The 27,590-nt window shown below is 35.3% G+C and overlaps 1 protein-coding gene across 3 annotated transcripts in view; it reads left to right on the top strand.

Moving 5' to 3' along the window:
* Positions 1–26,369, top strand: part of CWF19L2 (CWF19 like cell cycle control factor 2) — a 131,466-nt gene extending 105,097 nt beyond the window's left edge. For 2 of the 3 annotated variants that reach the window (NM_152434.3, XM_047426419.1), the window contains 5 exons: positions 3,676–3,792; positions 16,016–16,171; positions 17,768–17,848; positions 22,710–22,811; positions 25,676–26,369. In NM_152434.3, the coding sequence (NP_689647.2) occupies positions 3,676–3,792; positions 16,016–16,171; positions 17,768–17,848; positions 22,710–22,811; positions 25,676–25,819 (600 nt within the window). In that variant the 3' untranslated portion in view covers positions 25,820–26,369. Of the gene's footprint in view, positions 1–3,675; positions 3,793–7,238; positions 7,316–16,015; positions 16,172–17,767; positions 17,849–22,709; positions 22,812–25,675 lie in introns of those variants that run through there. The other variant, XR_007062452.1, reaches the window with a different exon arrangement.
* Positions 26,370–27,590: the final 1,221 nt, after the last annotated feature.

Here is a 27,590-nt window from a genome sequence, read left to right as displayed (position 1 = left end):
TCTTTTGATTTATTTTCTTATCTTCTTTTTCTTCTCTTTTCCTTTATACTTAACAAAAAGATAAATGTCAAAATCCCATTCAAAATTAAATAATTTTTAAAAATCCATCTTAACTAATTATATTTATTTTTCTAAGTTCCTTTCCCAACTTTCATGTAAACAACATGGTTATAACTTAAATAAGAGTTATGTTCATTCTTTAATATTTTTGCCTGATTCTAGTCATCTATTTTTAATTTGATTTAGAAAAAGAAACAAAAAACTGCTTGGTAATTCATTCATTTACCAGGTATTTACTGAGTATCTAGTGTTTGTCAGCCTCTAGTACTAGGTACTAGAAATATAAATATGCCTAAAACCTCCTCAAGTTGCTTACAGCTTTATGGGGAGCAGGCAAACATAACCAGATCAGTTTTAATGCAGTGATATAAATGCTCTTGCATTTCGTGGGAACACGAAAGAGGAATATTTAGGTTACCGTGGAGTTATCAAGGAAGGCTTTCTGGAAGAAGTATGTCTTGTGCTACATTTTAATGGTGGAATAGGATACATTTCAGTATTTAGGAAATACAGGACAATACAAGCAAAGACACTGAGGTTTACAACCACATGGTTCATTCTGGGAACTATAAGCTGTCTTAAGTGGGTACTACCCTTACTGGATCTCAGACCTCAGGAGTGTAAAGACTTTATACATCAGACCTGAGAATTATCTAGTCTTCCATTTATACCTTTAGGTGGGGGAAGAGGAGATATACTAGCATTCATACATAAATGAACTACACCAAAATTTAGTGGCTTAAGACAGCATTTAAATCATTCTGTTTTGTATGGTCTGTTATCTTCCAGTAGGCTAGCATAGGCTTCTTCACATGGGAGCTAGGCTTGTTCCAACAGAATTAGCAGAAGTACACAAGGCCTCTTGAGGCATAGTCTTGGAACTGACCATCATCATTTCTACCATATTCTGTGGCCCTTATGAGTCATAAGGCCAGTTTGCACCCATCTCTTGATGGGAGGAGCTACAGAGTAACATTGTGAAGGGTTTCAGTATATGGAGTAGTAAATAACTGGATGCCTTTATGCAATCTACTATAGAAGACTTTTAGAATTTTTGCTTACACTCTCTTAAAATGCTATAACAGAGATATCTTTCTCTGAAATGTTCTGTTCATTTCATGACTACTGTTTTTAGACCACTAGCAAATTTACATTTTAACCCAAATATCTCCTAGAATTCTAGGTTCATGTATCCAACCTACTTTTCCACTTGGATATCTAGTAAACATCTGAAACTTAGGTGAAGGTCTAATACCCGTCTCCACCTTTACCTTTAGCTAACACTAACCCTCCCATAGTCTTCCTCTTTTTAGTAAATGTCACTTTCATCCTCCAGTTGCTTGCATTAGACCTTGGAGTAATATTGAGTCCTTTACTTTCCCTCACTCCTTACTGTCCATTTCTAAATTCTGTTGGCTATATTTCAGAATATATTCATGTTCTGACCACATTTCATAATCTTTATTTCTACCACCCTGGTTCAAGTCATCATCATTTATTACTGGACTTCTGTAATAGTTTCCTAATGGGTCTTTCTGCCTCTTTCCTTTGCCCTTTCTCTATACAGTAGCAAGTGATCTTTTTGACTTTAAGTCAACATTAGTCAGATCTGGCTTTCAGACCAAAGCTGGAATCCTTATTGTCGCCTATGAGGCAGGCCTACAGGCCCAATTCTTCCTGTCACCTCACTGTCTGTCAGCCTTCCTCTCATCATCTCAGCTTAGCCACACTGGCTGTCTGACAAGCTGGAGAGCACACTTGGTATGCATCCTCCTCACATGCTTTTCCTTTTGCCTGGGAGTTTCTTCTTGTGTCTACCCTTCCTTCCTTCACATATCTTCTCAAATGTTACCCTAGAAGGTAACTTTAAAGGGAGGCTTCCTAACTTCTCCCTAGACACTATCTATACCTTTTTCTGCTTTATTTTTTTTAGTACCCCTTATCACCATCTGACATATTGTGCATTTTACTTTACATTTACATTGTTTATTTGTATTTCTTCTTTGATGTCTTAGTTCGGGCTACTATAAAAAATACCGTAGACTGGATGGCTTATCAGCAACAGAAATTTATTGAAGCTAGTTCTGGAGGCTGGGAAGTCCAAGATCGGTGCTAGCAGATTCAGTGTGAGGTCCCACATCCTGGTTCACAGACAGTCATCTTATTGGTGTGTCGTTACATGGTGGAAGTGGCAAGAACATTCCCTGGGGCTTCTTTTATAAGATAATTAATCCCATTCATAAGGGCTCTGTCCTCATGATCTAATCACCTCCCGAAGTCCCCTACCTCCAAATATTATCACCTTGGGTGTTAAGATTTAATGTGTATATTTTGGAGGCACACAGACATTCAATCTGTAGCACCCCATAAGCTCCTTATGGGTAGGGATTTGTGTCCCTGCACATTGTTGATTCCCTAGCATGTAGAACACTGCCCAGCATGTAATTGGCCCTCAGTAATTATTGATCAGCCAATCAGTAGCTCTGCTTTCTCTGTCAAATAAAAGAAAGTATTGCTTTTTTGTGTGTTCTAATTTATTTAGGTATTAATTTATGAATTTTCTTTTCTCTTTTATGTATCTATTTGGAAAAACTGCTTTTGATACCAATTTTAGGGGATTTTTATGTTTATAATGCTTTTAAAAATGAATTTTATTACAACTTATTTGACCTGTCATTGACACTTGGACCTGGCTCTTTATCTCAGTGATTATGTAGAAAATTCAGTGATTTCTTTAAATATTTCATTTTCTAAATCTTGTAAGTTGTCTATAGACATACCCATGACCCTTAATCTTTATTTCTTTTTTTCATGAACATGTTTGTGATTTTACTGTAATTTTAGGTAGATATCCATGTCCACTCCTACTTTGTTGTTTGTCAGCAAAGTTTTAAACATTTGAGTTATTCTATTAAATAAATAATGTCTGCCATGCAAAATATTTCTAGCTAAAACCCAGCAAAATATAACAGAAATAAGAATAAGATCAAGCCCTTTGTAATGCTTTTGTTCTCTGTATATATACCGATTAACCTTTTTTTTTTAAGACAGTTTGTATATAATGGAAAATTAGCACCAGTTTTTAGGTAATACATGTATGTAAATACACAGTGGTAAAGCCATTCCGAGGTCATTTCCTCTTCGTCTTAGCTGAGTTAATTCTCTTTTCTCAGCTAATCAGAGAAGGAAGGCCTGATAAACAGGCATCAGTTAGACTACCGTTACCAGGCCATGTGTCTTTTTGTTTTTGTGAAAATTGTGTTGTTTCAAGAGTTGTCAAAGTATCTAGCTCCTTCAGATTAAGGATATTGTGTCATTCATTCTGCTCTTCTTTGCCTAATCTTAATCGTTGTCTGATGTAAAATAGTGAAAATTGAGATCTGTGCTCTAAATTTTCAGTTTATTAAAAGCTATCCTGATGCCTTTAAAAATACTAAATATCTTTAAAAATATTAACATTTGCAAAAGCAATTCTTAAGTATTCTTCATTAAATATTCATCATTTTTTTCTACTAGGGGCTCATCTGTTACAACTGAGAATAAATAGCATTAACATATAAATATATAACATATAAATAACAATAACATTTCACCTTTTGTATTTCTCTCTTATAGGTTTATTTATGTTTACCCAACGTACGGTCTCTTACTGAGGGGCACTGCCTGATAGTCCCTTTGCAGCACCATAGAGCAGCTACTTTGTTGGATGAAGACATCTGGGAGGAGATCCAGGTCAGCATAATAAATGTTCATTATCATTTTAAAACTCATGAGCAATTTTTGTAAATTATTGTGATAAATTCCAATAGGTATAACTTCATTTAATGATTTTAGTTTCTAAACTTAAACACGTGTGTTTTCATAGTTGTATATATCTGTGGATCATGATGTTTCCATCATTTTATTTCCCTTGTGTACTCCAGATTTTGAGACCTTTTATCTACGAAATAAACTGTGACAAAGTAATAATTATTTTTACTTAAAAAAATCAGTCTAAGATTTCAACACTTCTTTTGTAGCATGAAAGAATCATTCTTACCACAGTAAGCCAATAAATTGCAGCTGAAAGGAAAGACGTTTTCAGATAATGAAAAGAAATTTGAGGAGTCAGAGGTTTTATATTTAGCGGTTGCCGTATTTTCCTGTGATAGAATTGGTCTTCTCTGCTGCTGTGTTTTTGTGGTGATTTTGTTACTAGCTTTAATTTCTGCTCTTTTTCCTTCATAATCTGGCCCAGCTTTTGGATTCAGGGATTTGTTTTTGTGGCTGATGCTTTAAGAGAGTGAAAGGCACAACATGGGTGAAATTGTTGCTGAATTATTTCAAGACCTAATAATGACCAGGAAAGAAAGGAAGAAAACTCTTTATTTTTTTAATGCCAGACAACTGAATAGGGGCTACAGGGAGCCTTAATTAGAAAATGTGAAAATTGTAAGTTAGCACTGCACAAGAGATGACTAGTCTTTGCAGCATGCTGATAAGTATGTCAAAAGAAGAGATGTTTTGATGGCATTTAATGAAATTTAGTCTTGTATACCTTGTAATTTTAAAGTTTTTGCTGTCAAAGTTTAAAGGGTAGATTGTTTTATTGCATCTGCAACCAAGCAAAAGTAAGAATATGTCTTTTTGATGTGAAAGTTTGCGTTTTCCTAGTAGTGGATGCCAGTGCCAGTAGGTAATTTAAGGTGGAAAGTATGGAAATTCAGTTCTTAGAATTATTTTAGAACATTTCCAGGAAGCCTTTTAAAAATTTATACATATAAAACTGATTTAATTTAGAGCAAAATGCAGTGCCAAAAATATTTTAAGTAATTATAGGAATACAATGTGTATATGTTTTATATTTCTATAAGAAATCAAGCTGCTTAATGAAAACAGTTTAAGTGGATGAAGATTTTTATTCAATTTAACAGATATTGAGTACACAAATATAATATTTTAGGTGCTGTAAGAAATGAAGAGATCAAGTAATTCATTAATTCTGCCAAAATATGTGGTGTATTTCTAGTATAGTTTACATTATAGTTTAGCAGAGTTTGGAAACCAAGTGTACTATGGAAAACTGCGAAAGAGAGGAAAAGCCAAATTGTTTTATGCAAATAATGGTGTTGTAGCTCCTTTTGTGTGAGAAAGGAAAATAATTGTTAGAAGTTATCAATTATTGTAGGCTAGTGAACTAATGAAATATTTGAATCCTAGCTTGATGAGGTACAGTTTGCTGTTGCTGTTGTTGTTGTTGTTATTTTACTTTCAAATATGTACAACTCAAATTAATTCTACCCTAGTGAGTATCTTTGATTATTCACCTCTTTTATTGGATATATTAAAAAAAGATTTGACTTAGCACAAAATGTTGTTGCCAAATGTTGCAATGCAGGAGCCACTTCTTTCAAGTGGTTTTAAAAATCACCAGTATCTAGTAATATTTAAATGTAATTTTAGACTTCCTATTTAATAGAAAATGCGAAGATGTTTTAGCATAGCATACTTGAGTAATCACAGATTTCAAATAAGATCCAAATTGCTGGTTTTGTTTAATATGTAATGAAACTTGGTTCCCTCTAAATTTATTGTTATCATTTTTACAAATTTTCTTGAACATATGCTGTAGGCAAACACTGTAAGCCCATTTAAAAAATATCCCAAGTTGGTAGGTGGGGAAAAAGGAGGGTCACTGATGCTTACATACAGTGAACTTCAATGTGGAGTGATATGTGGGGCCATTTCATTAGGAAATAGCCAATGTTAGTACCTTTAGGTCTTTTTCTTGGGGCTAGCCAGACCTTCAAAAAGACTCTTTCAACCTCCTGTCATCTAAGCCCACTTGCCAGTGTTCTGGGAGCTGAATGGGGGAAGAAGGCTGGAGGTGGCAGTGTTGAACATGTACGGACATTAAGTAACCTTTCTGATAACACCCCTGTTTTCAGACTGTAAACTCTCACCTGTGTCTGGTTTTCTAGCCCAGCTACCTTGTTTTACCTTTTCCAGAGGAGAATCCTGTAGTGTTCTGATCATGAGGAGGGGATCTGTCATGTTGATTGCTTTTTTAATAGGCTTTCCTCTAAGTCATCTGTTTTTAGCCACACCTTCACCTCCACGTCCATAAGTACTTGGTGCTGCCAACTCCTGAGCCTTTTGAAGGTTCTGCAGTGTAGCATGGGTTTCCTCTTTGCTATCCCTGCTAACCTTCTTTCTCCTCCCCAAGGTATGAACCAACTTTCTAGCATTTAAGTCAGATCTTATGGAGTGATCTGATTTGTCATTGTGTTTTCTCTCATTTCCTTTGTTCAAGTAGCTTCTGCCTTTTAAACAATTGTTTAAATTCATTTTTGAGGTGTTACTCTGTGGAGAGAGTAGAGATAAATGTGTTCTGTTCTGTTGCATAACATTTACCTTGGGATAACTTGATAACTTTATATTTAAACATGTTATATTTTAAAAACGACTACATCATAGCGTTAATATTCCAAAATCAGTCCTATATAGCGTTAATAGTTTTAAGTACTTTAATTTGAATGTCAAAATTATGTATTCATATGTACTTGATTTTTTCATACTGTGGTGATACAAAAGGACCTGCAACATTGTGCAGTATAGTTTCCTTAAACTGATTATAAGAAATTGTAGTCTGGATGCATTGACTAAATGAGGAATGGGCAATTAGATGAATAATGATAGGTTAGAAATGTGGAAAGTAGTGGTTACCCAAAGAATGAAGTGTTTTTTTACTAGGAATATGGGAATTTCATGTCATCTCCATAACATGGGAACTCTGCATCTCTCTTAAATATAAAACAGTTTTGATTTATCTTATGATATGGAACTACAAAAACTTTCCCCATTATTTAGTTGTTACATAACTTTTTAAAAAATGAATATTTTTGTATAGCGTATTTGTTATTGAGTATGGAGAACATCATGCTTGATGTTGATCAAACGCAAATTATTCCATTAAACTCATATTTGTAAATTAAAATATTCTATATATGTGTGTGTATAGAGAGAGGGAAAGAGAGAGGAGAAGTACTTAAATGTGTGTGTATCCTCCTTGGAGCTATTAGTATGAGGTTTATATATTTTATAATACAGAACCATTCTTGCAACACTATTTTAGTATTTTTTCAGTTTTTGTTTATAATTCATGACATTTTGAGTCTGCCTTCTTCACTATTCTCCAGATAAAATCTAGAACAGTCATCCAATAATTAAGCCAGAAAGGGAGTATGAACAAACATGAAGTAAAGATGTTTGTGAGGTAATTTTCGGATTATTTAAACTTTTATTATTGTTATTGCTGTTGCTTTTTATGTACATCTTTTCTTCTTTGAAAAAGTTTGGGTTACAAATACATAGTTCCACTCTGTTAACGATTTTGTTTTTTCTAGTATATAAGGTTATCTTCTCACTCTATGACTAGATATTGAAGTAAGTAACAATAAAGTTTTCTTAATAAATAAAAGTTTATAAGCATAGTAACAAGTAACAAAATAGAGACAATCTGAAAAGCTGTCATAATAGCAAATTTGTATATTTTCCTATTTCATTCTGTTTTTTAGTTTTTTTTGTGCAAGTAACACTAGGCATGTGAAGGTAATGATGAGTGGAAACCATGTGGGGAGGAGGCACGAGCCATGCCTCCTCCTTCCAGTCAGGATAGTATCAGTGGAAGCCTAATGGGAACCTAGCACTCCCACCTGCTACCCAGCAGTAATGAGTAGCCTCTCCCATTTTTGAGTGTCAACAGAGGCCGAGTTGGGAACCTGAACTTCTATCCCCATATGGCAGTAATGAGGTAGTATCTCCCTTTCTTCTGATGGAGCAGTATTAGGAAAAGCCATATAAAACAAAAAATTTAAACAAGATCCAGTCTCTTAATTCTCAAAATATCCAGATTTCAATTGAAAATAACTTATAAAGACAATCTCAACTAGGTTGAAAAAGGTAATCAATAGACACCAACACCAAGATAACAGAGATGTTCTAATTATCTGACAAAGATTTTAAAGCAGCCCTCGTAAAAATGCTTCAACAAGCAATTAGGAAAATACAACAAGTGCTGTAAGGAAAGTACAATTTGAATGACAGCGCATTTCTCACTAGAAACCATGGAGACCAGAAGGAAGTAGCACATTTCTCAAGTGCTGAAAGAAAATAACTGTCAAGCAAGAATTCTGTTTCTAGTGAAAATATCCTTCAGGAATATGGGAGAAAATCAAGACATTGTTAGGTAATGGAAAACAAAGAGAAATTGTCATCAGCAGAGCTGTCCTAGAAGAATAGTTAAAGGAAGTTCTTTAAACAGAAAGGAAATGATAAAAGAAAAAATCCTGGAAAATCAGGAAGGAGGAAAGAAGTTTTGACTAAAGAAGAGGAGAAGCCAGTATGATGACAGAAGCAGAGACTGAAATGATGCAGCCACTAGCCAAGAAATGCTGGCAGCCCCAGAAACTTTTTTTGAGATTGAGTCTTACTCTGTTACCCAGGCTGGAGTGCAGTGGCGTGATTTTGGCTCACTGCAACCTCTGCCTCCTGGGTTCAATCGATTCTTGTGCCTCAGCTTCCTGAGTAGCTGGCACTACAGGCATGCACCACCACACCCAGCTAATTTTTGTATTTTTAGTAGACTGGGTTTCACCATGTTGGCCAGGCTGGTCTTGAACTCCTGGCCTCAGGTGATATGCCTACCTCAGCCTCCCAAAGTGCTGGAATTACAAGCGTGAGCCACCGCACCTGGTGTCTGATGTGTTTCCAAATGTATGTGGAGAAAGTATTTAAGACAATTTTATTCTAACTGAGGGAGAGTAAATGGACATAAAGGGAAGTAAGGGGTCTCTATTTTATTTGCATTGGTAAAATGGCCCCAGTAGACTGTGATTAAATATATATGTATGTATATGTAATGCCTTAAAGCAACTCTTAGAATCACTTTAAAAACTATACAAATTGACAGACTGAAAAACACTAAATAAATCAAAATGGAATTCTGAAAATGTTCAAATAACCATCGGAAGGCAAGAGAAAGGAACCAGAAAAACAATAGAAAGAACAAACAGAAAACAAAAAAAATAAAAATAGAATATCTCTACTATATCAATAAACAGTATATCAGTTAAAAGATAGTTTGGTAGAGGAGATTTCATAACTATATGCTGTCTGCAAGAACTCTTCAAATGTAATAATACCACAAGTAGAATAATATAAAAGGTTGGAAAAATATATATTATGCAGCCATTAATGAAAAGAAAGCATTTATGCCAGATAAAGTAGACGTTAGAGCAGAGGAAATTACCGAAGAAGAGAGGGGCATTACATAATGATGAAAGGGTCAATCCACCGAGAAGACATAGCAGTCCTAAATGTGTGTACACCAACACTGAGGCACAAAGTCTGTAAAACAGAAACTGAATGAACTGAAAGGAGAAATAGGCAAATTCATAATTATGGTTAGAGACTTCAGCACCTCATTTTAACAACTGGTGGAACAACCAGACTGAAAGTCATCAAGGATATAAAAGAACTTAAAAACACCATTGCACTAGTTTCCTATTGTTGCTGTAACAAATTGCCACAGAGATGGTGCCTTAAAACTGTAGAAGTGTATTTTCTTATGGTTCTGGAGATCAGATTCCAAGTGAGTCTTATGGGGCTAAAATCAAGGTATCTACTGGACTGGTTCCTTCTGGAGACTCTGGAAGAGAATCTATTCCTTACCTCTTCTAGTTTCTAGGGGCTGCCAGCATTTCTTGGCTTGTGGCTACATCATTTCCGTCTCTGCTTCTGTCATCATATTGCCTTCTCCTCTTCTTCAGTCACAACTTGCTCTGCCTCCCTCTTATAAGGAAACTTTTAATTACATTTAAGATATACCCAGGCAATCCAGGATAATCTTCCTGTATCAAGATTCTTAGTTATATCTGAAAAGTCTCTTATGCCATATATGGTAATGTTGTTAGGTTCTTGGGAATAGGACCTGGATATCTTGGGGGCCATTAGTCAGCCTGCTATAACCATCAGTCAGCAGGATTTAATCAATATTTGTATAACACTCCACTTAACAATATTAGAAAACATTTTTTTCAGAGCATAGACTCTATCTTGCCACAAAACTAATCTCAGCAAATTTAAAACAATTGAAATCATACAGAGTGCATTCTCTGATCACAGTGGAATCAAACTAGAAATTAATAACAGAAAGATAATCAAAAAATTCCCAAATACTTGGAAATTAAATAATACACTTCAATAGTGTATTATGGAACAACTTTAAAAAGAAGTTTCAGGAGAAATTTAAGAAATAATAATCTAATTGAATTACAATGAAATTACAACATGTTAAATTAAATAATACACTTCAATAGTGTATTATTCAACAACTTTAAAAAGAAGTTTCAGGAGAAATTTAAGAAATAATAATCTAATTGAATTACAATGAAATTACAACATGTTAAGATTTATGAGGGACAGCTAAGGGAGTGCCGAGAGAGAAATTTATAGCACTAAATACTTATAGAAAAGAGGAAAAACCTTCACCTCAAGAACCTAGAAAAAGAAGAGCAAAGTACATCCAAAGCAAGCAAAAGGACAGAAATAATAAAGATAAGAGCAGAAATCAATGAAATTGAAAACAGAAAAATCATAGAGAAAATCAATGAAACAAAAGTTGGGGTTTTTAAAAAAATAAATTAATAAACTTCCAGCAAGACCAACAAAGGAAAAAAAATGAGAAAAAACAAGTTACCAATATCAGAAATAAAACAGTATTAGTACAGATTTTGCAGTCATCAAAAAGATAATAAGGGAATAATATGAACAACTCTGGATGTAATGGACCAGTTCCTTGAAATGCAAACTGTTACAACACACTCAATATGAAACAGACAATTTGAACAATCTTTTAACTAATAAGGAAGTAGACTTCATAATGTAAAACTTCTAAAAAATTAAATCTCCAAACCCAGATGGTTTCATTGGAGAATTTTATGAAACTTTTAAAGAATTGACACCAATTTTATATAATCTCTTGAGGAAAGAACACTTTCCAATTCATTCATATTGGGAGTTTGTATTATCCTGATACCGTAAGTTAGTGTTATCCTCATACCACAAGACAGTTAAATAAAATAGCTACAACTCAATATCCTATGTGAATAGAGATGTAAAAATTATCAACAAAATATTAGCAAATAGAGTTTGGCAATATATAAAAACAATAACACACTATGTCCAAGTAGGGCTTATACCAAGTATGAAAGACTGGTTCAATATTAGATAATAAATCATTATAATCCACCATGTTCATATCAATCAATGAAGAAAAAGCATTTGATGAAATTCCTACTCATTTATGATAAAAACTCTCAAAATCAAAGATTAAAGACTGCCGGAAGGAAGCTTATCTAAAGTTTGTTCTCTCCATAAGGCACATCACATCACAATGTTGTGCTAAGGAACACCAGATGGCACTTCAGTAATGTGCTTAGGGTCCAGTTTGAACAGAGAAATCAAAAACAAAAAGCACAAATATGTGGAAATGTGGCACTAAATAGACCCTGGAAAGCACACTTGTTTACATTGAGAACTGAAACAGGGCAGACCATTGCTTTGTTCAACTTTGGTTGGGAAGGTGTATGTCGGATGACTCAACTTTTTCACCACTCTGCAGTTGTCTGTAAAAGATCTCAAAAATGCCATGAGAATTGATTTGGAAGACAAATTTGTAAATATGGAATCCACAAATACTGAGGATGGACGAAGGTACAAATCTAACAAAACGTGTCCATATTTTGTATGCTAAAAACTACAAAACACTGTTAAGAGAAATTTCAAAAATAAGATAAATGTAGATATATCATGTTTATGGATTAGGAGAGTCAACATAGTAAAGATGACAGTCTTCCTCAAATTAATATACTAGTTTAACACAATTTTTATCTAAGTGCCAGCAAGATTTTTTTGTAGGTATAGATAGAATTATTCTAAACTTTATATGGAAAGGCAAAGGAACCAAAATAGTGAAAATAATTTTGAACAAGAAGAATACAGTTGCAAGAATCAGCCTTACCTGATTACTGGAGATGTATAATAAGCAAGATTATTACATATCTACAGTAATCAAGACTATGTGATATTGGTGGAGGGATAGACATATAGATTAATTAAACCAAATAGACAACCCAGAAATAGACACAACCAAATATTCTCAACTGAATTTGACAAAGGTGCAAAAGCAATTCAGTGTAAAAGGGATAGCCTTTTCAGTGAATGGTGCTGGAGCAATTGGACATGCATAGCAAAAAACTTGAGTATCAGCTTAAACCTCATACCTTATATAAATATTAACTCAAAACGGCACACAGCCCTCCAGTGTAAAGTGGAGCACAGCACTCCAATGTAAGGTACAAAACTATAAAACTTTTGGGAGAAAAACAAGATAAAATTGTCAAGATCTTGGGTACACAGAGTTCTTTGACTTGACACCAAAAGTATAATCCATGGAAACAAAAATTGATAAATTGAGCTTTGTCAAATTAAAAACTTTTGTTCTGCAAAATACTCTGATATGAAGATGAAAAGACAAATTATAAACTAGGAGAAAATATTTGCAAACCACATACCTGGCAATGGATTTGTATCTAGAATATATAAAGAATATTTTTATATCTAGAATGTCAAAACAGTGAAAACAATCCAATTAGGAAATTGGCTGAGCGCAGTGCCTCACGCCTGTAATCTCAGGACTTTGGGAGGCTGAGGCAGGTGGATCACCTCAGGTCAGCAGTTTGAGACCAGCCTGGCCAACATGGCGAAACCTTGACTCTACTAAAAATACAAAAATTAGCCAGGCATGGTAGTGCACACCTGTAATCCCAGCTGTTGTGGGGGGGCCAAGGCGGGAGAATCACCCGAACCTGGGAGGCAGAGTCTTCAGGGAGTTGAGATCGCACCACTGCACTCTAGCCTAGGTGACAGAGCGAGACTCCATCTCAAAAAAAAAAAAAAAAAAGGGATAAACAACATCATGAAACATTTTGCTGAAGAGGATCTATATTAATAGATGGCAAATAAGCATATAAAAATGATATTTAATATCATTGGCCCTTAGGAAAATGCAAATTAAAATCACAGTGATAAATTAGACCTATCAAAATGTCAAATAAAACACATTGACAACCCCAGATGCTGGCCAGGATATGGAGAAACAGAATTGCTCTTCTGTTAATGGTAGAAATGTAAAATAGTATGACCACTTTGGAAAACAGTTTGGCAGTTTTTAAAAATATGAAATATGCAACTATCATAGGACTCAACTCTTGCACTTCTTGGCATTTATTCCAGAGAAATGGAGTTATATTTCCCCAAAAACCTGTGCACAAATGTTCATAGCAGCTTTATTTGTAATAATTAAAAACTGGAAACACCCCAGATATTCTGTAAAGGTGTATGGTTAAACATACTGGGCACATCCATATCAGGAATACTCCCAGCAATGAAAAAGAATGAATTGTTGATGCATGAAACAACCTGGGTGGATCTCCAGAGAATATGCTAATTGAAAAAAGCCTAATGGCTACTATTAAAAAGTCAAAAAACAACAGATGCTGGTGAGGTTGTAGAGAAAAAGGAACGCTTATACACTGTTTGTGGGAGTGTAAATTTGTTCAACCATTGTGGAAAACAGTGTGGCAATTCCTCAAAGACCTAGAGGCATACCATTTGACCCAGCAATTCCATTACTGGGTATATACCCAAAGGAATATAATTCATTCTGTTATAAAGATACATGCACACATGTGTTCATTGCAGCACTATTCACAATAGCAAACACATGGAATCAACCTAAATGCCCATCAATGATAGACTGGATAAAAAAATGTGGTACATATACACCATGCAATACTATGCAGCCATAAAAAGGAATGAGATCATGTCCTTTGCAGGGACATGGATGGAGTTGGAAGCCATTATCCTTAGCAAGCTAATGCCAGAACAGAAAACCACACACCACATGGTCTTTCTTATAAATGGGAGCTAAATGATGAGAACACCTGGACACATGGTGGTGGGGAACAACACACACTGGAGCCTGTCGGTGGGTGGGAGGTGGGAGGAGGGAGAGCATCAGGAAGAATAACTGATGGTTGCTAGGTTTAATACCTAGGTAACGGGATGATCTGTGCAGCAAACCACCATGGCACACGTTTACCTATGTAACAAACATGCACATCCTGCACATGTATCCTAGAACTTAAAGTAACAGTTGAAGAAAAAAAAAGAAAAAAGCCTACCTCAAAAGATTACATGGTTCTATTCATGTAACATTCTTGAAATGTCAGAATTAAAGAAATCAGGAACACATTAAGGGGAAGGTAGAAGAAGGGAATGAGGACTGGATAGGGTGTGGAATGACTGTGACTGTAAAAGGGTAACAGGAGCTGGCCATGGTGGTGCACCTTTAGTCCCTGAGTAGCTACTCAGGTGGCTAATGGGGGAGGACTGCTTGAGCCTGAGTACGACGAGGTTGTAGTGTGCTATGATCACACCTGTGAATAGCCACTGGTACTTCAGCCTGGGCAACATAGCATAACCACATCTCTAAAAATAAAAGGAGAAGAGAAAGTAAAAGGGTAACAGAAGATCTTTATGGACAGTGTTGGAATTGCTCTCAGTGTTGACTATATCAATGTCAATATCCTGGTTGTGATATTATAGTATAGTTTTATAAGATGTTACCTTGGGGAAACTGAGTAAAGCATACATGGGATCTCTCTGTATTATTTCTTATAACTACATGTGATCTGTAATTACCTCAAAACAAAATGTTTAAATAAAATATTAAAAAGTTATAAATCAAGCTGACAAATCTAAATAAAATACATTTTATCTTCCTACTTAAATATACTTTCATAAACTCTTACAAGGCCAACTTTAGTTTAAAATTCTTAGACAACTTGATCTTGAACTCCTGATCTCAGGTGACCTACCCACCTCGGCCTCCCAAAGTGCTGGGATTACAGGCATGAGCCACCGCGCTCATCCAGAATTCTTAGACAGCTTGAGGGGTTCACAGTAAGACATGGTGATGTGGACGGAGCTGGGCTCTGGCATCCAGCCTTCAGCCTGTTCCCCTTTCTTTCGATCCCTAGCTCCATCCTGTACTACAGGGGGTGTCATGTGAATGCATGCAGACATCCTGGACCACTCAGCTCTATTCAGTCACCCTCTACAAACAGCTGCCCTTTAGGCCTAGGAGTGTGAAATACACACACACACACACACACACACACACACACACACACACACAAAACACACACCTCCACAACTGATTATATTTGTGTGTATAGTTGTATAATAATACTTAGTTCCTTGGGAAGAGAAAACCCTATTACTTTTCAACTTTAGTGTATTTGGCTTTCATATGCTTTATAGGACTGCATTATATGTGAAAATAGAGGACTACCTGAATATACAAGGTTATTAGTGATGGGTCAGCAGACATAGGGAACCAACAAATGCAGATGCTATGAGCATAGGAAAACAATTGGAAGTGAATTCTCATGTATTTCTGAGTTTAAGGATGCCCATCTGCTCAGAGTATCTCTTTTGGCTTATGGATATTTTCCTATGATTGTTCTGTCAGTTCTGCATATTTTACCACCTAAATTTGATTTTTATCACTTCTTTCTCTCATTTTACTGAAACTATTTCTAATATATACATAGTGGGTTTCAGTTTTTTTAAAAGTCTTGCTTAAATATATGAAATTATATAGTAGATTTAGAAAGTAAAGTAACTATAACATTGCAGAGTTCAGATATTACTGTTTATTTTATTTATTTTTCATTTTAAAGGGATTTGTACTTTTTTATTAAAGTTTTCATATTTCAAATATCTTGAATATGCTTGATTTTGAATCTCCTTTAAGTGTTTTCTTTACCTAGTTCTTTTTTTTTTTTAGATGTTCAGAAAATCATTGGTAAAGATGTTTGAAGATAAAGGATTAGACTGCATTTTTTTGGAAACTAATATGAGCATGAAGAAACAGTATCACATGGTTTATGAATGTATTCCTCTTCCCAAGGAAGTGGGTGACATGGCTCCCATCTATTTTAAGGTGTTTATAAGTAGTCTTTGCATATACACTTATTTTTTGCTATAGTGCTATTTTACAAATATTGTTGTCTTTATTAACATATTTTTCTCCTATATACTTACATCAAAATTTATATAAAGAAATGAAATAGGCCGGGCACAGTGCCTCACTTGGAAGGCCAAGGTGGGGAGATCACCTGAGGTCAGGACTTCAAGACCAGCCTGGCCAACATGATAAAACCCCATCTTCACTAAAAATACAAAAATTAACTGGGCATGGTGGTGGGCACCTGTAGTCCCAGCTACTCAGGAGGCTGAGGCAGGAGAATCACTTCAACCCAGGAGGCGGAGGTTGCAGTAAGCTGTGATGGCACCACTGCACTCCAGCCTGGGTGACAGAGCCTGATCTTGGCTCACTGCAACTTCTGCCTCCTGGATTCAAGCAATTCTCCTGTCTCAGCCTCCTGAGTAGTTGGGACTACAGGCATGCACCACTACGCCCAGCTAATTTTTTGTATTTTTAGTAGAGATGGGGTTTCACCATGTTGGCCAGGATGGTCTCGATCTCTTGACCTCGTGATCTGCCCGCCTCAGCCTCCCAAAGTGCTGGAATTATAGGCGTGAGCCACTGCACCTGGCCTACACTAAACCTTTTATGTGATCATTGAAGATGCTTTTATATTGAATGTGCTATATTACAGTGTCAAGCCAAGCAACTGGTGCCTTTTAAATAGGTAATAGCACTGTATCTGTTCTATTTAAATAGAACTTATTTGAATGTTATTTTATCTTTAAAATTTGCTTCATTAATAACAATACTGTAAAAACATGAGGTTATTTTATATTTATCACTCTGGCTTTTCTTTCTTTTAAATATTTCTTTACCATAAATAGTAGTCACATTGCTTAGCATAGGAAGTCTTACTCCATTTCTATGTATTTTCTCCCTACATTTTAAAAAATTCTTATTTTTTAAATTACAAATTGACAAATTATAGTTATATAAATTCTGACATCAAAAACATAAAATGTGTGAGGGGTAAATAAAAGCATTGAGTTGCATGCAATCAAAGTTAAGTTGCTATCTGCTTGAAATAGACTTATGCTTCCTGGACTTTTAAAAAATAGGCTTTATTTTCTAGAGCACATTTTTTTTCCTGTATTTTTACTTCTTCATTATATGAGCAGAAATAGTTCAAGACCTTGGTTGCTAGAAAACATGTAAATTACTCTGTTGCCTTTTGGAAGAAGAGCAGTAAAACTAAATGAATTTATTTAGTAATCTCTATGAATGCAGTGCTATAAATGGAACTTTATGATCACAAATTATGTTTCATATTAAATTGATTGGTCTTATTAAGGATTGCCATGTAAAGTTGAGCTCAAGTTAGTATAACAGTTAAGAATGAGTAAAAGAATATTATCTTTGGCTAATGGTAAGATTTCAAAAATTTAAGAAGTTCTTATTTTAAATAACTAAAAGCCTTAATCAGTTCAGAATAATGGCTTACTATGTATAATATACCCCATAATTAATTTGCTATATTACTTGTTATAAGCTGTTTCTTTTTATTTACTTACATGTTCTTTTTTCACTTAACAAATGGATATTTCTTAGAAAGCCATAATGGAATCTGATGAAGAGTGGTCCATGAACAAGAAGTTGATAGATCTCTCTTCAAAAGATATCAGAAAGTCTGTAAGTATGTTTTTTCCTGGTAAAAGAAATTACCCTAGTGCTCAGGATCTTTATTAATTTCCATGTCTTAGTTGACAAAGGGACCATTTGGTTGAGTGACTGAAGGCGAAATTACTAGTTCGACAAATGAAGTTATTTTTATCCTACCTGGTCTAGAAAATGCTTATTTGTTTGTAGAGGGTTTTTATTTGTTCACATGAATGTTTCTTCCTGACCTTTGGCCTTCTGCCACTGTAGTCCCTATAATTGGCTATGGCAGCTATTAGAGTCTGCCGTGAGAACTGCTGTGGTGAGCTTCTCAGCCCCTGTGGGACAAATGGTGAGAAGGGCCTTCCTGAAATATATTGTTCTGCAATTATACTGAGAGAAAAATTTTCCTAGATGTTCCATTTTGAATTTGGAACTCATTTTCTTTTTCTTATACAAAGGTTCACTATTATGTTCCTATAAAACTATAAAATAGTAGTTGAGTTAGATTGTGGGTTCTTTTGGAGACTTGCCTAATCATACCTCATAGTTTAATCTTTATTTGTAGATCAGCTTTTATGTACAAGTTACACTTAAGTTGAGCACGTCTGGTAATGATTTTTTCTCTTTTCTAGAAATACAAATTAAATGGAATGGAATAGAGATTTAATAGAAGTGTGGTTCGTTTTTGTTTTTCTATTCAAAAAGTAGTTTATTCTACAAATATTTATTGTGTGCCTGATATTTACCAGGCATTGTTCAAGATGCTTTTGGTACACAGTGGAACAAAACAGAAAGATTCCAGACTTGATGGAGATTATAGTCTAGTGCTGGGGTTGGCAACTCAAGCCCTGCATGCTAAACCCAGTCTTCTGCCTGTTTGTGTAAATGCACTTTTATTGGAACACAGCCACACTCATTTGCTTAGGTATTGCTTATGGCTGCTTTCATGGTACAAGGGCAGATTTGAGTAGTCCCTACAGAGAACGTATGACCTGCGAAGCCTAAAGTATTTTATTATGTGGTCCTTTTCAGAAAAAGTTTGCCAGTCCCTATTCTAGTAGGTGTCACTGGAATACTTCTCCCCCATTTCTTCTTTTGGAAAGCCAGACTCCTGTTACATGTCACGTAACTAATAGGATTCCTTATTACACTTATTATATTCCAGTCAAAAGATTCCATTTTATTACATTATTCAAGATACATAGTTTTATTTTAGAGGTACAACATTATCTACAATCATTTTCTCTTCTCTGCTGGTGAATTGGGCCAGACAACATATTAAAAAACAAAGTAAAACAAAACAAAAACTCTAAATGTACTGTTTACTTCTCTCCTTTTTGTGCCTATAGAAAAAGGCATTTAATGTACGTACATCTTTTGTGCTACGTTTTTCACTTCTCATGTTATAATTTCTCATGCTGTTAAGTATTCTTTCACAACATAGTTTTAATGACAGTTGAAAATATTTCAAAGGAGAAAAAAATTTGATTTATTAGTCCCCGTTTTCTATACTGTGTATACATTTTCTTACTGGTGAAATGTCTAGTATCTTATTATTTGTTTCTTTTTTAAAAGCTCCATGAGTACCTGAATTAAGTAGCCAGGAGGTCTTAATATTTTAACTTAACATTATGAAACATAAGAAACACAGATACTGTAAAAATGGCAGTTGTATATTCAGTTTTAAAGGATTTCAAAGATAGCAGCAATTGCCTTTATTAAGGCATCACATAGTATTGTATCTGAGACTAGCTGAGGGTTACAGTCAATGAAGGATGAGCCAGATGACCTCTTGAGATCCCTTTTACCTTTTTTTTTTTTTAGACAGAGTCTAGCTCTGTCGCCCAGTGACGATCACTCCACCTCCCAGGTTCAAGTGATTCTCCTGCGTCTGCCTCTTGAGTAGCTGGGAATACAGGAGCGCACCACCACGCCAGGCTAATTTCTGTATTTTGTGGAGACAGGGTTTCACCATGTTGGTCAGGCTGGTCTCGAACTCCTGACCTCGTGATCTGCCCGCCTCCGCCTCCCAAAGTGCTGGGAATACAGGTGTGAGCCACTGCGCCCAGCCCCTTTTAGCTTTAAGATTTTATAATTATGTGGATGGAAGTAAGAATGAGAAGAGTACATAAGTATAAGAAAAATTCCAAAGGAGGTCACTTTTTGGTTAATAAACTTTCCATTATCTTTTCAAAAATTAATAAAAGTATTTTTGAACATGAAATGAACAATACTGAGTTATTTTAACATTATTATTACTTCTGAAAGAACCTTATTATACTTCTTTTAAAAACTTTATGTCCTTAATAATTTCATGAAATATTTTGCCTGCATCCTTCAGGGTGGGGTGGTTTTTTTTTTTCACTGTGTAAATTCTTGGCTTATAATAGAGATTCACGTATATGTAATCCATTCTGATTTTTACAAATTTATGTTTTTCTTTGCTGTATGAAGGTAAGCTTCTCTTTATCTGCCCATTTTGTTCATTTTCTTTGGCCCATTTGCTTTCTTTTCAGTGTAATGTGAGGTTCATGGAAATAAACAGGAAAAACAGATCTGAGTGTTCAATGCAGAGGAATTGCATGATAATAAGTAACTGTCGAGAAAAGCAGTCATTTTTCACAAGGCTGTTTTAGTGAGATTGCATGAGAATTCTTTCTGAACTTTAAAAAATGGTATTTTAAGTTTAATTTTGTGATAACTATAGCAATTGAAAAAACATCCAACATTTAGAAATTGATGTTCTAAACTAAGGAAAGCACTTCTCACGAGAATGTGGGTTTACCAGAGGCCTTCAAATTCAAGGATACTTATAAGAAGTCAGGAGTAACATCTGGAATAAAAGTGAAAAATCCAAATATGTCTATTTTTCTACCATAAATAAAAAGTTTTGCTTTAATTCTGTCAGTGCCTTTAAAGAGTGGTGCCAGAGTTCCAAATGCATTTCCTCTGACTGGCCAGTGCAGAAAAAAGGAAGTGCTAAATGTACATACACTTTGATACTAGAGCCTTTGCAATGCCTGCTAACAACTCTTCTAGCAAGCAGCAGGTTGTACCTTTTTGCAGCCTGCAGGGAGAGAATAGAGAAGCTTGTGACAGCAGTTGCCTTTGTGTGAAAGTAGTAGTGTGTTCATTGTGCCGTCTTGGCAAATATGCCATAGGTTGTTGAGCCTTGGCATGTATATTGGTTTCCTATTGCTGCTGTAAGAAATTACCACAAACATATTGGCCTAAAACGCCATAGATTTATTTCAAAAATCTGGTGATCGCAAGTACAAAGTGGGTTTCTTTTGGCTAAAATCAAGGTGTCAGCATGCCTGCATTCCTTCTGGAGGCCCTAGAAAGAATCCATTCCTTTGCCTTTTCTAGCTGTTAGAAGCCACCTGCATTCATGGCTTATGGCCCCTTCCTTCATCTTCAAAGCCAAGAGTGTAGTATCTTCCATCTTTCTCTGACTCTGACCTTCCTATCTCTCTTATTAGTGTCCTTATGATTACATTGGGCCTATCTGGATAACCCAGGAAAATCCCCTCATTTCAAGATCCTTAATAATATCTGCAAAGTCCCTTTTGTCACCTAAGGCAGTATATTCATGGCGAATTGAGGACTAGGGCATTTCTTCATGTTTCTCATGAGACTCAGAGATGTTAATTAACTTGTCTGAGGTAACACACTTATAAGAATCAGAGTTGCAATTGGAGCCTTGTCTATCTCCTTTACTTTGTTTTTTCCTAATAGTCAAGGTCATAACATGATTATTATATTTAAAAATGTGGAAATATAGAAAAATTAAAGCCACAAATGGTATCCCATTTCTCCATATTTAATGTTATATACTATTTCGTGAACAGATTTTTACGTGTGCTTTTTAAATAACATGAAAAACTTTTTATAAGCCCTAATTTTAGTTGCCTTATAATATTTCAAGGTGACCACTCTCCACTATATCATACTGTGCCCTTCTACATTGTGCCTTTTTAAAAAGGACACAATACACAATTTGTATGGTTAAGTAGGACCATGTGATTCACTGCCCAAATAAGTAAGTACAGACTATATGAGGGAATTAGAGAGGAGAAATGTTGCTATAAATGACCCACTTGGATAATTTCTAGTGGCAAAGTTTGGGCTTTGAAGCAAAACTTGCAAGGACACAAAATCTACTTAATTGATAGAGAAAACAAGAATTTGTGGCTTTTCCTAGTCATGAAATAGTTTAAAGTGTGTGTGTGTGTGTGTGTGTGTGTGTGTGTGTGTGTGTGTGTGGTGGGGGGGGTGTGTGTAGAGAGAGAAAGAGAGAGGGAGGGAAGGAAAGAGTAAGGAAGGGAGAGAAAAAGACAGTAGGGATTTAATCCTGGAGATATTTTGAAATAAGGCTGGTAAACTAAGTGTTGCTGTATCCACTTCACCAGCTCGTAAAAAATTATGATTGTTTTTGTATAATTTATCTTTGATAAATATATAACTGTAAAGATTCAAGGAGAGCTCTAAGTATGTGCAAGGTCCCTCTTGCTGTTCTCCATTGTGAGTGGAATACAAGAAGGCATATACTTATTCTCTATTTGTGTAGTCTAAGGGAAATTATTCTTTGCATTTGTATTTTTAAAAGTATAATTTCCCCCGTTGGTTTTCCCCAAGGACAGCAAAATAGTTGGTTTTGATTATAATTCATAGATAATGATGAACTATCTGGCTGAAAGGCTACCAAAATGAGATATTTTACTCAGAAAGTTAGGTCATTGTTTAAATATCTCTAGAACTGGAAATTCATTTTATACATTTGTCTTGAGGAATGCTTAAGATTACTGTCCTTCCAGAGAAGAGGGGAGGGATTAAACATAACTTTCTGGTTTCATACTGTATTCCATTTGTGATTTGTCTGTTTATTTAGGTACCCAGAGGGTTACCTTACTTCTCTGTGGATTTTGGCCTTCACGGAGGGTTTGCCCATGTCATTGAAGATCAGCACAAATTCCCTCATTACTTTGGAAAGGTAGGCTTACAAATTTGATAAAATCCCAGAGTTAGCAATTTGGTAACATTTTTCTTTTGAAAGGAAATAAAAACTTTGGGCACAGTATACAAAGAAATTGGTGAGTACTGCTCCACCCAGTTTTTAGAGAGGGAATACCTAGCAACTATTAATAAAAATATCCCAGAATGTATATAACAGAGCCAGGAATGTTACTTTGGAACCAAACATTTCTTGACGGTGTCAACAATTACTATAATGGTTGTTTTTGGAGGAAGCCAGGCTTGTGTTGAGAATGATGATAATTGTTAAAACTTATTAAGGGCTTACAGTGTGCCAGCTACTGTTCTAAGCATTCATTTAATGCTCACAATAATCCTATTGTGTGGATATTATTATAAATTTCACTTTACAGATGAAGAAACTGAGCTACAGAGAGATTAGGTAACTTGCCCAGGGTAATGCGCTAATAAGTGGTAGAACTAGGAGTACATATAGTCATGGTTGAACTAGAGAACCAATTTTCTCATCTTCATTTATAATTAAGCAAGGCGTAGCCCAAGAAGAACACATGACTCATTTTACGCTGATAGTTTCTGGGCAGATATTAGCATACAGATCTTTTGATTCACTACCACAGATTGCCTTCTTATATTCTGTGGGGTATAATCTTTAAATTAAAGTCTACAGAATAGTGTCAGGAACTGGAATAAAGTTAATGCAGCAACTGAAACAGTCAAAAGTAGTCTGGGCAATGATTGCTCTAGAAGTGAGCCTTTAATCTAGTATAGATCAGGCCTTTCCATTCATATTTATCCCTATGTAGCCAGGCCCTCTGAAAAAGAGGGGCCTTGGTGAACTCTGCTTGGGATTCCCTGTTCTCCACCCTGCTCCCCACTTTCATCTCCTGCAGAGGAACATCTTCTGCAATGAGTAGAAATATCTGAAGAGGAATCTCAACTCCAGAGGTTTGATTCAAAACTTTTTAATGCTCTTGTCCTTAGTGGGTTAACCAGCATAACAAAGTAACATGCATCTTTGAACTGTTATAACATATTACAGAAACAAGTTTGAGAAGTGTTCAGAATTTTTTTTAACTAGAAAGAAATGTGTTTTCACTGTTCTGAAAAATCCTGTTGTTATACAGTAGAGCTTTATAACCAAAAGCTCTATGGCTGGATTTATTAAAAACAAAAACAGAAAAACAAAACAAAACAAAAATTTGGTCCTAGAAAAAAGGAAGTAAAATATCCATTTTTAAAAAGTTGTATATATTAAACTGGGAGATTGCCCTTTCTTCACATATTATTCATGCATTCTGGTTTATATGATTCAGTTTTGGAGTTAAAAGTAAATTTTCTCTGTCAGCATTGCGTCACTGAGCCATTTTCCTCAAAATTTGCTTTTTAAGAAATAGCCTGTGGGCTCAAGACCTCCCTGCAGTCTGCTGCTGAAGCAGTTGTTCAGAGAGCAAGAAGAGATTATGGGGATAGTCTTTCCATTAACAGCTGCTTTGATAACAGAACAAGAGTCAAGCTTATATGGTAGATGTAAGACAAAACTTGGTATTTTATAGACAATTTTAGGTAAACTTTTATAAGCTAGGCTTTCTTAAACTACATTGCTTATTTGGACCGATGCTGAGAAACTCTTGAACTAAATCTCAATTTGCCCTATTTCTCTTTTCTACTATCTCTGTTGACCCCTTTATTTCCCTTCCCTGATGACAGGAGATTCCCTTTTCCATGAAGCATCTCCTGGTCTGGCCAACAAATAGATTGTTTTTTTTTTTTTTTTTTTGAGTCTCCACAAATGGTCTGCTTTGACACTTACCTTCTACTTTATGAGACAGTCTGCTGCATAGCTGGATTATTATTCCTCCCACCACAGCTCCAGATTCTATTCTGTCTGAAGACAACTGTGTGTCTTCACCCCACAATCTCTGTATCCCCTACAACATACGGCATTTGCTTCTGCATAGTAGGTCCCTAAGTAAGATGAAGAACCTGCATCTGAAAGATTATGTGGTTTGTGCAGGATCTCACCACACAGTCTGGTGGAGCTAGACCGACTATGCAGAATTTGATCCTTAGTCTGTTTTTTGTTGTTGTTGTTTTGTTTTTTGTTTTTTGCTTTGTTACCATACTGCCCTCCCTCTAAGCATTTAAGCATTAGGAGGCTCCCCCATGTCTTTCTGTTCATGGATACTCACATGCCTAAATTTGATTTATTTCTATAGCTAACAGCACAGGAAGAGGATCATGAAGGAAATCAAGAATAATAATCAGATAACCAAAAAGCCATTTATTATGGGACTTGAGAATGTGATTTTTTAAATGAAAGTGATATATAATTTTTAATTCTATCAATAGGTTTACTTAAACTAGTATTACAATAGGATTTTGTTTCATGAAAAAAGATTTCTGCTAATAGTGGAAGAAACTAATTTATAAATATACTTGGTAGCAGAGAGAGAACATTAGCTTGGGATTCAACTGCAGTTGAGCAGTAAAGTTAATAATTGCTAGAAGTTGATTAACATTTTTGCAAAATTGTTTACGGGAGCCTCTAATAGAGATCATATTAATTAAATTTCACTTGTTTTCCCTCCCCTTTGTTACCATCTAGTAGATGTGCTAATAAGCAACAAAATGGACAAATTGCTTGATAGGAGATGCAGCTAACTTGGACTCTTAGAATCACACGGTTTGCCTAGTTAGAATTAACTGAAAACATATTTTTTTAACTTCAACTAGTATTTATGCTTGAACATTGTCATGGAGAAGAACTTGTTATATTTTATAGCAGAATAAACAGAAATAGTTTCATTTCTGTTTTCATTATTTATACATGCTTGTGTTTGTGCTTTTCTCTTTCTTTAAAAGGAAATCATAGGTGGGATGCTGGATATAGAACCAAGACTTTGGAGGAAAGGCATCCGAGAAAGCTTTGAGGATCAGAGGAAAAAAGCACTGCAGTTTGCTCAGTGGTGGAAACCATATGACTTCACCAAAAGTAAAAACTATTGAGGTGTACCTTCCATTTTAAAATTTTTCTTCAGATCCCGTTCAGTTTTATTTCCATTGCATCTAATGAAGCAACTGACCCTCAGGTCACAGGCAGAGAGAGTCACAGCAGCAGACTGCTCTGGGTCAGTGACAACTGTACATCAGGAGATTGTGTTGTTTTCTTCTTCACCTGCTCCTATCTATGGACTTCATTTTAGTCACCATGGAGTAAAAACATATATTCGATGATCTGCTCACATTCCTGCTCTCTACCTACTTCTTGGTATTCCGAATTGTTCAGTTAATTTAGAGAAGGCCTTTTCTGAAGGGATATCTAAAAAGCATAGGAAATCCTTGGTTCAGAGGGAAGTGGGTCTGCTTCATGGTTGTTAAGTCTACTGTCTGGCTTCTTTTGCATTTTTAAAAATAAGACGATTTAATTTTAATTTCATAGGATTTTATAGAAAAGCTCTTAATTTTCTACTAGCAGTATATAGTATCACTTCTATTCTTTTTGTTAAAGGAAAAGGAAATGTCCCCAAAGTATTAAAGAATTAAATGATACTGAAAATTTGTATGATTCAAATTTGTTTTTATTTCTGGATTTTTAAATAGTATCTTTGAATTTTGGTGGTTCTAAAAGTAATTCTTCCAAATAACATATTTTAGGGTTGTTTGGGGTTTGCATGAAAGTTAAAATTTATAGCCAAATCATTGGTTTTGAGTTGTACTGATTGTCGTAAAATCTTAAGTAATGAGAGTTTTTATTTATTTATCTTTTTGTTTTGTTTTTATTTATTAAGACAGAGTCTGGCTTTGTCACCCAGGCTGGAGTGCAGTGGCCCAATCATAGTTCACTGTAGCCTTGAACTCCTAGTCTCAAGCTATCCTCCTGTTTCAGCTTCCCAAAGTGCTGGGATTGCAGGTATGAGCCACCATGCCTGGATGAGAGTATGGGACATTCTGTTGTCCCTTACTTGATCCAAGGAACGTAATTTTTATTTGTTCTCAACTCACACCATAGTCATATTTTGTAAGTATAGGGTTTTTATGTTTTGAGTGCTCCTACTTTTCTTTTTCTTAATGGAAATTATTGTTGTAGTAACTTTTTTTTCAGCTATTGGCTTTTTGGAAGCTGAACCTTTTTGTATGAAATGTTGGATACCTAGATTCAGTGTGAGGTGTGCTCCACTGTAACTTATAACTCTACACATTGTTTCTTCTCTTTTTTAAATTATATTTTAAGTTCTGGGGTACATGTGCAGAACGTGCAGTTTTGTTATATAGGTATGCATGTGACATGGTGGTTTGCTGCACCCATCAACCCATCATCCACATTAGGTATTTCTCCTAATGCTATCCCTCCCTAGCCCCCCGACCCCCTGACAGGCCCCGGTGTGTGATGTTCCCCTCCCTGTGTCCATGTGTTTTCATTGTTCAACTCCCACTTATGAGTGAGAACATGCGGTGTTTGGCTTTCTATTCTTGTGATAGTTTGCTGGATTATTCTTGTGATAGTTTGCTGAGAGTGGTGGTTTCCAGCTTCATCCATGTCTGTATGTTTTATGTTAGCATCTCATTGCTTCCCTAATATGTTAAAAAGCAAAATGTATGTGTTCTGTCTGTAGTTTTTTTTGATTTCATAAATAAGTTGAAGTTTAATGTTTTCAGTTTTTGAATATTTGCAACATACACTTAGGCATATATATGAAGTAGATGTTTGACAGTATTTATTGATTGCTATTTTAAAACTCTTGGCTTTGCTTCCAAATCTTAAAGGAATCAATAACAC

The sequence above is a fragment of the Homo sapiens genome, chromosome 11, assembly GCF_000001405.40.
Source record: "Homo sapiens chromosome 11, GRCh38.p14 Primary Assembly".
In the NCBI taxonomy this organism is placed as follows: domain Eukaryota; kingdom Metazoa; phylum Chordata; class Mammalia; order Primates; family Hominidae; genus Homo; species Homo sapiens.
This window is presented reverse-complemented; position numbering and strand designations above follow the sequence as displayed.